General features: G+C 35.7%; 1 protein-coding gene across 2 annotated transcripts in view; it reads left to right on the forward strand.

Annotated features, from left to right (window-relative positions):
• LAMA2 (laminin subunit alpha 2) overlaps positions 1–15,719 on the forward strand; it is a 633,429-nt gene that overhangs the window by 568,294 nt on the left and 49,416 nt on the right. For both annotated transcript variants that reach the window (NM_000426.4, NM_001079823.2), the window contains exons 46-51: positions 1,557–1,700; positions 2,724–2,857; positions 4,904–5,063; positions 8,769–8,893; positions 12,859–13,021; positions 13,714–13,858. In NM_000426.4, the coding sequence (NP_000417.3) occupies positions 1,557–1,700; positions 2,724–2,857; positions 4,904–5,063; positions 8,769–8,893; positions 12,859–13,021; positions 13,714–13,858 (871 nt within the window). The remainder of the gene's footprint in view (positions 1–1,556; positions 1,701–2,723; positions 2,858–4,903; positions 5,064–8,768; positions 8,894–12,858; positions 13,022–13,713; positions 13,859–15,719) is intronic.

The following is a 15,719-nucleotide window of genomic DNA, read 5'->3' on the forward strand; positions in this document are numbered from 1 at the left end:
GTGGTTTAAGCAGTAGGCTTCCTGGAATGTCCAGCCCCAGGCCACCACACTCAGGCCTCCAGCAGTCACCCTCCTCTGGGTGGTGGAGGAAACAGCCCCTGTTTCTCTCCAGAACACAGTGTCCTCTTCATGGAGATACAATTTGATTAGCAGATCAGGTGAGGCAACAACAATAAACAAATAAATGACTTATGCGGTCTGTGGGAGACGTAACAGATCTTCTGTATCCCCAGAAGGTCTCAAATCTATATGAATTTACCTATTGCAAAAATCCCTCTTTAGCCTTCTCTTTTGAATCCAACCAATTTGGCACCCAACCTTTGCAGTATACTTGCATGACCCTTGGAGAAGGGCCACAGTTCTGCCCATACTCAAACACAAATGAGGCTCTTGGAGACACCTCCTGGTGTCATGATCATATGGAGGCTGTTTTGGTTTCTAGGCTATCTTGTTGGGAGTCTGCACAGCCCTTTCATGGAGGTAATGATGATGCTAGTTGGTTTTCTTCCAAATGTGCAAATTACATGAGTAGCACAAAATGCTAGAAGAAATGAAAAAATGGAAATTCACTGCTAGTGAAGGCCAAGAGGGCATTTGAACAAATGGCAAAGAGAGATTTTACATCTTCCCCTCTCTCTGCCTCCTTCTGGAGCGCTATCAATGAACAAAGTTACAGATTCTCTCTGAGTCCAAGCAACTATTTTGCTATCCTGAAAGTAACCCTTTGATGGTGATTTTCCATCTGACCCTACAGAAATTAAATCAAATAATCAACTAGTGTTATTTATGATTGAAGGAAGGCTCTCTAAATATAAGTAAAAATTGGTATGAACAGTATTACTCTATTCATATAGGCATTCCTTTTTTAGCAATTTATAGTAATTTTTAAGGTATTATTCAAAAGAAAAGGGAGCTGTTAAATACATTAATAGTGATAGCCATTGGAAATTATTTCCATTTCATTTCCTGACAACTTCATGAAAAGGTACAATTTATTCTGAAATGTATGTTCTGAGTAGAATGATTAATATTCTTCTTATTGTTAGAACATCTAGAACAAAATCTATTTGTCCTCTTTCAACTGTAAGAGTATAGGAGGGTTGGTAATTTCCTCTTGAAAACTAAAAGAAAAATAGTTTCTTAGTTTAAGTGATACCAAAACCGCTGAAATTTCAATTGTAAAATTTCATTAAACAACCTTAATGAAGGTCATTCTCATTAGCTCCATGTAAAATCACCTGCCTAAAACGTTCCCATATTGATAATGGAGAAATGTATGACGTTAGAAGTTTGTTAGTTGCATGCTTCAAAAAATAGTATGCTAACAAGACATGGAACTGTGAACAGCTCATAGTCAAAATTCTAGTGGAAAACTGCTCTTCTGTGCCCTCATTAATGAGTATAATGGTGTCTGCATATGGGTGTTTAATGATAGTATTTGATGATAGAAAATAACTTCAAAGAAGAAACGATGATGGCTTTGTGGTTGTATGGAAGCTACTTCAAACTTTCTGAGAGATTTACTCTTGGTTCTTTGTATCTTGTTTTTTTTAAAGATCAAAGTATCTGTGTCTTCAGGAGGTGACTGCATTCGAACATACAAACCAGAAATCAAGAAAGGAAGTTACAATAATATTGTTGTCAACGTAAAGACAGCTGTTGCTGATAACCTCCTCTTTTATCTTGGAAGTGCCAAATTTGTAAGTCTAATATTCAACTTTTCATTAGGCTGCTGTATGTGTATAGCTAGAGGTTAATCTGAAAATGTATAGAATCCCCAAATGTATATGGTCCCCAAATGGTCTAACGTAGGCTTTCAGATTTGAAAACCTCAACGTCTTACCTTACAAAATTCTGAAGAGTCAAATTAAGTTAGAAGGCAAATGAAAGGAAGAAAACTACAGTGTTTAGTCACATTTACTTTCATTTGTCAGTATACCATCATTTCTGTTAAATTATACTTTCAGATCCAGTGATTTAAGAATGCTAATGAGAATAAAGCTATTTTATTTACTTCTTATTTATTTATCTTATTTACTGTTCAAACTAAATTACAATAAACTCTTCCGTTAATGAAATGAAAATAGCAAAGTGTGTACTATTTTTTTTACCAATGGAAACTCTTCTAACTTGTGTTGAATTTATGACCTGAACTGAAATAACACAGATTATATCTACAAAAGCCCACCCATAAAGTTCTAATTTCTTCCATTTGAACTATTTGACTTTGCATGCATGGGGATTTTCCAAAATGAATATGACTTCTTAACAAATCATTCATGGCATAAGTCAATATTTGCCATTTGGGTAAGGAATTCTGGGTCAATTTGGGAAATAAAATCATAGCTGCCCCCTCAAAAATGTCAGTGTCCTTGGTGAAAATAATAATGGATTCTGAATTTAAATATTTGTTTTTATCTTTACCACAAGTATCAGAGTGAGAAAGGCTTTGGTCTCAAAATTAGACTTAATTTGAATTGGTAAAATTAACAAACATGCCTGAGCATTATGGACTTTTTTTTTTTTTGCTTTAAGGATATAAAAATAAAATATTATTTTAATAATGTATAATAATAAATAATATTATTTGACAAGTATTATCATGAAGCTCCTAATCATTTCACATGTCTGCAAATGGCGCTTATTGAAAAACACTCTGCTGGTCTCCTCTTTAAAGGTGCTTTATATCTGATATCTCTTGTTTTTGTATTTCTCTGAACTAGATTGACTTTCTGGCTATAGAAATGCGTAAAGGCAAAGTCAGCTTCCTCTGGGATGTTGGATCTGGAGTTGGACGTGTAGAGTACCCAGATTTGACTATTGATGACTCATATTGGTACCGTATCGTAGCATCAAGGTAACCAACTTAATAAAGATTAAGATAATTAAATGATAGAATTTTGAAGTAGTTTCCCAGTTTATAAGAAAACTCCTATTTCCATTTCAATAAGGTAACTGTGTATGCATGTAAACACATGTGTATGAATTTTATACATGTCTGGGAGTGGGTATGTTTGTCATACTTCTTAGGAACTGACAAACCTTCCAGGTATTGACCAGAGGAACAACTCCATTTCTGACCCCTTCATCTTGTGTCTGGTAGGAATTTGGGGGTGTCGCTGTTTCAGGCTTCCTATTTTGCCTGAAGAAAGTACTGCCACTTATTCTTATGCAATACAAGCCAAAGCATAAGAGCACCATTATTGCTTGTCTTTGTTGTACACAGCTCCTCCTTTAGTCTACATAGCCACCATAGAAAAATGCAGTTTCAAAACACTGAAATTCTTATGTAACATACCAGGTCCACCCTACTTAAAATGGGAAGTAACTGAGAACTGATTCAGTTATTCTATCTTTGGAGCTTTAATGCAATTATCAACATCTAGTACCATATAGATTACTTATAGAACTATCCCTGTCTTCAGCACTTCCCTCCCATTTTCTCTTCTTGTTTTCCCAATTCTCAACTCCCTGTTAAACCCAAAGCAGCTAACAGTTGAAAGGTATGGTTAAGGGCCTAGGGCTAGACATGAAGCTGATCAGAGACAGAGAAGACTTAAAGAACTGGTTAATTGTTGACTCTGGGTGATACATAGAGTTTCATGCTGTTTGTAGATACTTAATTTTTTCCATAATAAAAAGTTTAAAAGAAAGAGCCATGTGCAATGGCATGTGCTGTAGTCCCAGCTACTTGGGAGGCTGAGGCAGGAGGATCACTTCAGCCCAGGAATTCAAGGCTGTGGTCCATGATGATCATGCCTGTGAATAACCACTGCAGTCCAGCCTGGGCAACATAGCAAGACTTCATCTCTTAAAAAAAAAAGTTATAAAAAAAAATGAGAAGCAATATTTTTAGTTCTTTTTAAGGAAGTTTTTCAGCAAAAGTGTGTGTGCATGTGTGAGAGAGAGTGACAGAGTGCTTGCGTGTTTGGTGGTGTTGAGGGAATTAAGTACTTAACCGGGTTTAAGGACATTTATACTCATAAAGTGCAGTTCTTCTTTCAGAAAAGATACATTCTGTTAAAGAAGGTGAACCTTATTTGATAAATTCATTCTTTTGTTACCATGTATTTCACTTAACATTGCATCCTCAAAGAAAAAAGATTACCAAAGTGAGACAGCAGTCAGGGAAATATGACATCGAAGTTTTGTTATGACTGCTTGTCTCAAAAGAGAGACCAGATTTTCATATTTAACAGCTCATGGAAATCAATCACTTAAAAAAGAAAATGAAATAAAATGATAATAGCTTTCAAAATTCTGTTAATTGAATTTAAAAATGAACTTCTATGCAATTTGTACACTGAAATCTGAAGGGTGGATATTGTACTGTATACATTAGTATGCTGTGCCAAACAATAAAAGATATACCATTCTAGGAAGACTACTTCAACAAACTGGGATCCAAGATATTATAAAGAATTTTAGGAGAAATCATGCAGCTTATGATATGAAAGGGTGGCTCATTTGGGGTCCACTAGCTGAATTAAATTAGACAAAATGCTGAATAAAGTAATATAAACTTGCATAAATTGTATGTGTTGGTAAATAGTAAATTATTATGTAAGCCATAGGAAAAAGGCTTTCCACTTAACCAATAGCAATTCCATCAGTTAACTGCTGCTGTGTCATTTCATGTCAATGAACACACACAGAATCAGGACCTGGTGCTCACTGGTTCTGGTTGAAACTGATGTAAGTGTTGAGCCAAGATCAGACTCTGAGTATTGATTCGAGATCTAATGAATTTGGAATGTTAGAAACTAAACAGCCAGTTTTCTCTTAAATTCTTAAAAACAAGTCTCCGCATTTTATATCTTTTAAATCTGGAATTACCAGAAATGTGATGCATATTTCATTTTCTGTATGTTCCTCCCCTTCACTTCAACACGTACCCTTGAAGAACTGGGAGAAATGGAACTATTTCTGTGAGAGCCCTGGATGGACCCAAAGCCAGCATTGTGCCCAGCACACACCATTCGACGTCTCCTCCAGGGTACACGATTCTAGATGTGGATGCAAATGCAATGCTGTTTGTTGGTGGCCTGACTGGGAAATTAAAGGTAATGTGTTCATCCTCCTCCTGTTTATTTCATCTTTGTTGACATCTCCTGACATAATTACTTCAGGAGAAGGTATGATAAAGCTCTGTAAAACTTGATCACGTTTTACTTAACTTGCATTTATGAAAACATGAATTTACTTTGAGTAAGAATTTTCTTCTTTGACGATTCAACCTGGAAACACAATATTTTTAAGCCTATGTGTATTTATTTAAACAGCTGTTGTTTTGTCTTTATCTGTGGCATCAGTTTTTTGTATATTCTTGTTTTAGTTGCCTCAAGAGCAAAGTGTTTTTTAAGTATACCTCATCTTCTGAATCGATTTATGATTTATAGATATGAAGTGCTATAAAGTTCATACTCACATCTAATTAAAAGATTTATGAATACTTTGGGAAATATCACAGGAGCTATAAGCTTTCAAAACATGATCTGGTTTTTAAAGTTCTCAAGTTGCTCTTATTCTTATAGGATGATGCACTTAATATTCATAATTGCTTCATGACAGTCCTTGCGCATTTCAAATTGCAGAATGCCTGCCTTTTAAAGAAGCTTGTGTTGATTAAATGGAATTAGGTGTTGGGAAACCACTATGGGTGAGATGCAGGAGCACAACCAAATATAATGGATAATCCTGGGCTTGTCAGAATCATCCTGAGTTGAGATTAGTCAGAAAATGTGAAAAGCCAGGGTGACCCCAAATTTATGAGGACTCAACCTTCATATAGAATGAGGTTATTTTATTTACTTTGAGTACGAGATGTGACTCTAAAGTATGAGAATTTATTCCAAAACCACACGCTGAAGTTATCCTCGTTTCTTAGAACTTCATATAAATGTATATGGTACATAGTAATATATAGTCATATTATCAACTTTCTCTCCTTCACAGATAGATAAATATAGGGATAGCACACAGTAGTACAAAAGCCATGAATTTTGAAATCAAATCCAGGTTGGATTTCCTCCTCTTCCACTTGCTAAAATATAACCTTAGACAAGTCACTTAACCCCTTGGGCTTTGGTTATCTCAACTAGAAAAGAATGATAAAAATATCTACCTTGCTTGCATATTGTAGGATACAATAATACATTTTTTAATATTCTTATAACTCTTCCTATATGCTAAGTAATGTTCTCAGTAATTTACATGAATTAACTTGTTTAATTTTTACAACAACCCCAAAAAGTATGTCTTAGTCCATTAGGGCTGCTATAAGAAAAATACCATGAAACTGGGTAGTTTATAAATAAACAAACATTTATTTCTCACAATTCTTGAAGCTAAGAAGTCTGAGATCAAGGTACTGGCAGATTTGGTGTTTAGTGAGAGCCAGTTTTTCATAGAAGGAGGCTTCTTGCTGTTCTCACATAGTAGAAAGAGTGAACAAGCTCCTTTGGACCTATTTTATAAGGGCACTAATTTCATTCATGAAGGCCCTGCCCCTCACCATCTAAAACTCACCTCTCAAATGCCCTGCCTGCTAATACCATCACTTTGGCGGGTAGGATTTTAACATAAGAATTTTGAGAGGGACACAGACATTCACACTATAGCAAGGCAGATACTAATATTCTCATTCTGTAGTTAAGGAATCTGAAGAAGAGAGATGTTAAATGTCTTGACCATGGTCACACAGTAATTAGCAGAGCTGGGATTTGAACATAGGTTAATAGGCACAGTGGTCTTCACTCTCAACATCTTGCTTCACTGCCACAATGAATAGTGAGACACACACTACCATAGAGTGTGTGTATAAAATATATGGCAAATAGCTGAGATGTGGTAGTCACACCTTAAATTGTACCTTAATAATTATTATGCAAATGTAATTGGCACAAAAACAGTATTCTATCAGTCTCAGAAAAAGAAAGAAAACATGAACAAATGAAATCTATAGCAAACCTTAGGAAATCATTTTGGCCAAGAATTTCAAGACTACTGCCACACCAGAATATGAACCAAAAGCTGAAAACAACTAAATGAACTTGCTCATGAGAATTCAAATGAGCAGGAAAATCTCTCAAATATAGCTTTTCAGGATGCAAGAAGAAGCAAAAAGCAAGCAGAATTCACAAGTAGGATAATCAATCTCTAGAAAATTAAGAGGTTCAGAGTGATGACAGAGCATTGCAAGGACGACTCCAATGTGCAAGTCAGGGGCTCCGATCAACAATCTTTCTATGCGGCTGTGCAATACATGGTCACAGCAGTGGGAAATGTACATGTTGATGGGTTTAACCTAAAACCATAGCAGTAGGCTATACCATAGAGCCTAGGTGTGTAGTAGGCTATACCATCTAGATTTGTGCAAGTACTGTACAGTCTATGCTTTTAACTATTCAGTAACTGATTTTACTATTTAAAATTTTAACTATTCAGTAACTGTTTTCTTATGTGTGTTCTAAAAACCAAATGAGTCAATGCATGTTTTTCCCAGATAATCTGAGTAAATATGGGTTCACTTTGGCACAGAGTTTTTAAAGTTGTAGGCACCAGAATATAATACAGTCATGTGTCACTCAATGACAAGAATACATTCTGAGAAAGTTGGAATTAGGCAATTTCCTCAATGTGCAAACATCATAAAGTGTACAGTACTTGCACAAATCTAGATGGTACAGCCTACTACACACCTAGGCTTTATGGTATAGCCTACTGCTCCAAGGCTAGAGCCTGTACAGCATGTTCCTCCACTGAATGCTGTAGGCAGTTGTAACTCAATGGTAAGTATTTGTGTACCTAAACATAAACAAGGTACAGTAAAAATACAGTATTATAATTTTATGGAAGCACCATCATATATGTGATCTGTCATTTACCAAAACATTTGTAATGTGTCAATGCCAAAACAGTTGTTTCAATTTACAACAAACTTCTCTAGGAGGGACCAGGTCATTCTCTTTCTTCATGATTGTGTATCAAGCCTAAGACTTTTCCTGTGAAAATGACACCAGGATTGAATTTGATCAGATTATTTGTCGATTCTCTATTTGACTCCAGGCCCTGTGCTGTGTATACAAGCAAACGACACCAATGTGGTCTCATTTCCTACAAAGTTGCTTACTTTTTCTTTATTCCCTTGAACTCGAAATCTTCTTGGCTGTGAACAGAAATTTAAAAATTTACAGCAGCACTACCATAGAGTGATTTATACAAGTGCTTTTAAAAAATCTCTTCTATGTCATCAGCATGTCCCCTTTCTTCTGATCTCAGGGGAAAAAGCTTTGTGTATGCATGGCCCAAATTTGCCCAAAGAAAATTATGTAGGAGCACTAGCATTTATTGAACACCTTCTGTATATCAGGCACTGAGATTGGTGTCATAAATAAATTATCTAACTTTATTCTCACAAAAATTCCACATTACAGACAAAAGAATAGAATTGTGGAGAAGGTCAGCAGCTCACCTAAAGTTAGAAGCTAGGAAGTGTTTATTTACTGATGATGAAAACTGGTATAGCAAAAAGTAATCAGCATTCGTGGATTAAATAGTTGAGCTTTTCCCCTGTTGTTGACTCATCCTGTAGTAGCTCTAAGGATACGGACAGACTATGATGAAAAGATGAATATGTACATATGCCAAAATATCAGAAAGAATGGATAATGATAACTTTAGTTTCTGCTGATAATAACTCTCATGGATAAACCAAGATTATTTGTGAAATTCCAAATTCTAGCAAATAACGGTATTTCTTTCTGCAGAAGGCTGATGCTGTACGTGTGATTACATTCACTGGCTGCATGGGAGAAACATACTTTGACAACAAACCTATAGGTTTGTGGAATTTCCGAGAAAAAGAAGGTGACTGCAAAGGATGCACTGTCAGGTTAGTTGAGATGAGAACTCTCCCAGGGTCTGTCCTGTGCATAATAAAAGCTTCGATTTTATTGCATAATATTCTATTATCATGTGGATGATGTGGAGCAGGTTTGAAAGGATTATACTCAGAGGTGGAATTACCACAAAACTAATGAATCTTCAAGTCCCTGCCTGCATTTGCACAGGCATTTTTCAAGGCCCTGGGAGGTATACTAGCAGTACATTTGCATAGTCATATGTTTTTATAAAATTTGCAAAGGTAAGAGATTTTGGCTACAATCAGTTAAGTTTCCACTCCAATGTTCTTTCATGTCGAGGGGTTTTTTTGTGTCTGTGAGTACCTCATTGTTATAATTTTTTTTTCCTAAAGAGAGCTTTCCCCAAACTGATTAAGTTTCAGGTCTTGCTGAGCATGAATTCACTATATTTATGTTTATAACAAAATTAGAACCCCAGCCTAGGTTTTATCTCTTACAGGATTTTTTTTTAATTGACACATAGGATCCTACAAGTGCTTCAACTGGAAACCTATGGGATTTAATGATTCTGCTTCAAGAGAGAAGGAGAACAAGGGGCCGAGATAGTCCAGGAGGAAAGTTCCTAATACATGACCTCAATTATAAGATAGAGGGTAGAATGAATAGGAATTTGAAAATATTTAACATCCTATCATACTAAGCATGTGTAGAGAATAAACACTTTTATATAAAAATGAATACAGGATATAAAATATTTAGCTATAAGTAGAGGATTTCTCAGCATAAAAATCTTAGAGCCCACTTATCACCCAAGCCTAAAGCAATTTTGTTAAATTAAAACTATAAAACATACTTTAAATACCTGCAAAGTTAACATGTCATAACAGCAACTCAAAAACCATTAAGTGCTAAGGAGTTTGTGTTATTTTCCATTTAAAGGATATACATACGTTTCTAGGACCCAAATCCTAGCAAAGTACACTTCACATTTCTTTCTCTACATCTCTAGAGTTTCATAGAAGAAAGTAGCCCCAAAATGTTATCCCTCTAAAAGTCTTAACTTCCAACTCTTTGTTTCTTTTTGACATCATGGACTTGTCAACATGAAATTGAGGATAGTTTGAAAGCGTGACCCATTCATTGTTTAAAATGGTTTTGTCAATAATCTTAAACAAAATTTAACATGGAAGGTTGTCTGTAAAATTCTTTCAATACATGAAAGACAGTGAAGCCCACATTAATATTCTGCTACTCACAAACCAACACCAACTTTTCCCTAAGCGTTTCTTTGGTAAACTTCTAAGTAGGATTTTCAAAAGCCTATTATCAACAACAAAACATCTAAGGCATTTAAATATCCATTCAGCAGTGCATGTCATGTGAAACTGTAACATCACTAATTATCAATTCTGCAAAGATTTTGCACTTCAACACATAAAGTATTATGCTAATTTATGATTATAAGAGTATTCCTATGTATACGTAGGGTGTTTTGTAGGTTGCAGAGATTCACGTTTACAACTTCTCCTGATGCTAGAATGAATACAGCCTAGTCCTAGCCATGAAAAGACATCACCAGGAAGGGAGGAAAAAACAAATACTAAAATAGTTCAAATATCAGGCATAATAAAAGTCCCTTTAAAAAGGCACATTTGGAGTATACTACAATTACCCACATCAGATTAAGGGCATCATGATCTGCTTCACAGAGGAGGTGACATTTGAAATGGTCTTGACCTGAGGTAAGAGTCCAAAAAGAGGAGATAGCAGAAGAAATGTGAAGAACATTCTAATTCCTGAAACCAGTAAGAGCAAAGGGAGGAAGAGTGGGAAGCCGGAGTGTTTTTAGAAAAGAACAAGTGTGAATTCACTCATACAAGATTGGCAAATGGGAGAATGATTCGGGTAAGATGCAGTGGCCACATAGGTTCATACACACTTCTTCCCAGCATAATCATGTTTTTTTTTCTACCCTATAACGGTAGCTGAATCCAAAGTAAACCAACATAGCTGAAGACACCAACCTCAAAGTACTGTGCCACAACACAGCCTGTACACAGTGTGCATTCACCCATATGCCTGCCTTCAGCTTGATTTAGCCAAGCACTCTATCTCGGAAATGTTCGTGGCCCACGTCTTTTCCGTCATTGTGCATTTTTGCCCCATCGCTAACACTTGGCAGTGTCAGCCCTTTCTTATACCCCTTGTCATCAAACTATATTCACATTTTCCTTTTAAGGTGAAGTGATATGTATACTGAAATAATCCTATATTTTTTAATGTTTTAGTGTATCTTTTTGAGCTGTGCTAATACTTTGATCAGGATTGTTATTGTTTTGTGAGTTCTCTAATTACACACTTGTGTAAGTTTTTAGCAGGTCAGCCCCAACCCTATTTTCCCATAAGCCCTGTTATTTGTAAGAATAATTTTTATAGAACTCCTGGTGTTTGTTTGTTTGTTTGTTTGTTTATTTGTTGCTTTCAGGAAAACACTTATCACATTTGAACATAAAGAGCAATCATTCCTACTAAAGAGCAGGAGTGATTTCATGGAGAAGATGTAAAAGTGAGGCTAAAAGAGGTAGACTAAGAAAATGTCATAAAGACCTTAGAATGTCAGTTTTAGAAATTTGCATTTATTCAATAGTCAGTAGAAGAGATAAAATTGTTGTTATGCTTTAGAAAGAGTAATCTGTCAAAGATATTTTTAAAAGTGTATCTTATTTTTCTCATGCTTCTAAAATTCACATTAAGATTAAAGTAAGGGGAAAAATCTGCTGCAAGTAAAATTTAGTTAGCTGAGCATTGAAATGGTGATATTTTAATAGACTTAGCCCCAATATTCACCTAGAACGTAGCTGCTCCAAAATAGCATAATTAATCTATACTAACTTTACCAGACATCAAGGTTCAAAAGAGAAACAAAAGGCAAATTAAGAAGCCTAGCATTTATTAATTATGAAAGAATAGGGGCTTTTTTAGTAAATGCATTCAGAATGAATAGGATAACTCTATTCTATTCTATGTCGAAATATTATAGAGTGTACCTGGAAGGACTCATATTATTTCTCATCCCATAGTCACCAATTCAAAGCCAGACTTACCTTGTTTCTCCTAGTGTTTTCTAATGAATTAAATGAACTGGGGGGATCTACAGCTCTGTGTTTAGCCACTCCCAGTCCACAACTCTTTCCCGCAGGTATCTCCACAATCGCAGTAACATCAGACAGATAGGTAGGTAGATAGACAGATACATAAAAATAGCCTCATGTTTGGAAAAAATATTTTAAATGTATTCACAAGACTTATCTTAGATATTCATTAATTATGCATCCAATATTGATTAAACATATATTCTCTGTGAGGCAATTTGCTATACTAAAATCTTTGTCATCCTACAAACATCAACTGGATTCTAGGATCCAAGTACTGTATTGTATGTACTAGATGTTTTGAGTTTGTGCCTGACATAGGACCTAGCCCATAATCTCTTAGATGGTCTCATGAAATTTACATTCTAGTGAAGGAGACAGAAGAAACCATAAAAATAAATACAGGCCTCCTTAATCGTCTGAATCTAATTTGTTCCAGAAAAATTTGTTGGAAGGCAAATATTCAGAGTAGGATCCTATATATAAGAAATGTAATAATGTATTCTCAGCCCATCCAGAAACCCCGCCCCTTTGCCCAAATACCACTAAGACACCCTTAAGCATCAATATAACTATCTACTACCAAGTGCTTTTACAAAACATAAAGCACTTAAAAAAACTAATGACTTAGTTATTGCACACCTCATGAAAGGTGAGAGGTGGTTTTTACTTATTCTAGCACGGTGGCAGTAGAGATGGAGATAAGTGGAAGGAATGAAGATGTATTTAGGGTATTTCCTGCCCTACAACAGCCTATAGTCTCATTGCTATTCAGTGATGCATTGAATAATGACAGACTGAATAGATATGATCTGATTCATGTGAAATGTCTCTCTTCTCAGTCCTCAGGTGGAAGATAGTGAGGGGACTATTCAATTTGATGGAGAAGGTTATGCATTGGTCAGCCGTCCCATTCGCTGGTACCCCAACATCTCCACTGTCATGTTCAAGTTCAGAACATTTTCTTCGAGTGCTCTTCTGATGTATCTTGCCACACGAGACCTGGTAAAGATCATATGCATAGCAGAGTTTCCGTGACTAAAATGCGTTTGCTTCTTTTATCAGTTATTGGTAAAATCATCAGTTATTGGTAAAATTATCAGTTATTTTCTAAAAAGCCTGGGATGATTGTCTGGCAGCCAAGAATGGGTGATACAGATAGTGCTTATATATTTTCAATAATAACTTTAATCACAGATACAATTTAATTACTATTTATTTTCAATACAACTCCCCACATAATCCTTTAAGCAATACATCCGGTAATAATTTTTCCCAGCATGGAGCCATACAGCAGCAAAATGCTTCCTTAATCTTCTTTCAGAGACCTGAGTTGAAAAGGTGATTATAAGTATTCTTTGGCCTCATTTTTTTCTGGTCAGTATTTCTTACTGAATTCTTTCTGGGAACATACCTTTTGGTTCACTTAATATGTTTTCAAATGAACTCACATTTTACGACTGTAATAAAAGGATATGTCTTAGAAATTTTGTTGTGACCATGTGCATCATAATATCACAGCCACAAAAATTCAGAAAATAGTAACACCAATTCTATTTTCAAAATGGATTTCTGCAACAGAGTGACATATTCAGCAATTTAGCCACAAGACCCTAACATAAACCACACAAGAAAAGTGAACACTCATATACTTCTCTGTGTATCTAACCACTGGGGTATGTTTACTCTATTAATAGAGAGATTTCATGAGTGTGGAGCTCACTGATGGGCACATAAAAGTCAGTTACGATCTGGGCTCAGGAATGGCTTCCGTTGTCAGCAATCAAAACCATAATGATGGGAAATGGAAATCATTCACTCTGTCAAGAATTCAAAAACAAGGTGAGTTTTTACAGTAATAATGCAATATAGGCCTTAATCATGAAATCCAAAGTGCACATGTACCTGATCAAGAGGAAGGCTCCGTCTATAATTTTAGCTACTCACGAGTTCAGTGAAAAATTTATACAGTCATTTTTTTGGCTTAGATTATAGGTGATTTGGGTTAGACATGACTGATTGAAGAGCCAAATGCTTCTCTATCATTTTCTTTTGAAACTGAGAGCTTAATTTGAAAGCATAAAACTGTCTTACAACTTGCAAAATTATATCCTGTAATATGTTTGAAAAATGTTGGGTGCTTTTCTTTTCTCCCTATTTTGTCAAGATGTTTCCTTTAAAGTGGCCCACAGTGGAATCTATAGGAGTGGTAGGGCATAGTTATCAGTTCTTTGCTCATTTAAATTGCCAAACATTTGTATGCCTGCAAGTAAATAATTGATCAATAGTAACATGACATGTTTATGATTCGGGGACATTTTAAAACACTTTCACAAACATTGTTTTATCTGATCACATAAGCAGGTATTTTGTTCCAGTGTTAGAGAAAGTAAAATATACACTCAAACTTTTATGTGGTCACAGACATATATATAAAAGATCTCACAACCAAGACAGAAATCCAAGTCTATTAATTCTGAGTGTAGTGCTATTGCTTTTTAAGTATATAATTGCTCTAATTCTGTGTAGTATGGCATTACCAATATCTGCAAATGAGACTTTGTTACTTCTGCTAATATAAATAGACTCAATTAATGTTGCCAATGCCAGTGTGACATTTCATGAAAATTTACGTTTAAATTTAAATTTGTACCGTCTTTCATTTCTGCATTTAATACATATCTGCCAGGCACCTTCTAAGTACCATGTAAGAACTAAATGAAGTTCTAAGTTCTTGCCTTCAAGGAACTTGCATCGAACTGGGGAGATAGACAAGTATCAATGGTTAGAGGATAGAGAGCTAATTGCTGTGATAGAGATGTATGTAGCCAGCGAGCAATCTCAGAAGAGAGACACTTGAGTCAAACAGAGAGGTCAGTTTCCACTGGAGTGACCCTGAGGCACAAGCTGGATGAGGAGTTAGCTGGATGAAAAGCATGTATGGACATTTCAGAGTAGTGAAAGTTGTGTGAAAGCCTGGAGTCATCAGAGAGAATAACACATCCTTTTCCAGCTGCATTTCCAACAGGAAACTCTAGAGAAACCTCTCATATGGGACAAAAACTGGCTTTGCAATTCTTTATTTTGGAGTGCTGCTGCATACATTGTTCCTGTGTAAGAGAGGCACAATGCACATTTGCATGTCAGAAGCTCTGTGTAGTTAGTTGTTCAGTAAGAAGAATGTTTAGCTGTTTAACCCAGCATTTCCCAAATTTCTTTAATCAGAGAAATCCTTCCATTCCTGTAATACTAGCATTCTGCTGAACACACTTTGGGGAATGCTTTAGTAACTACAAGTGAATCCATAGCCTACACGAATGAATGTTGGCAGGAAATTATCAGTAGGGGCCAAGAGATAACAGAACCAGTGCATAAGGGGACATATGAGCTAAGTGAGTGAGTTTCAGCTTTATCCTGAAAGCCATAGGGATACCGAGAACTCTAAGAGTTTTAAGAAAGGGTGTGATATCATAAGACTTGTGCTTTAGTAAAGTTTCTTTAGCAGCAGTTTGGAGATATGTAACAATTTAGGATGCTACGGAGTCTGGTGAGCCTAGTGTCTCCCCACCAACTTCTCTTCTATAGTAGTAGAATAACAGATTTGAAGAAAGAAGGAGAAGATGGATATGCATTATAAAAGAAAAAAAGACAACCTAAATGTCCATCAACAGATGACTGAGAAAAGAAAATGTGGTATATATAC

Source organism: Homo sapiens, chromosome 6 (assembly GCF_000001405.40).
Source record: "Homo sapiens chromosome 6, GRCh38.p14 Primary Assembly".
Taxonomy (NCBI): domain Eukaryota; kingdom Metazoa; phylum Chordata; class Mammalia; order Primates; family Hominidae; genus Homo; species Homo sapiens.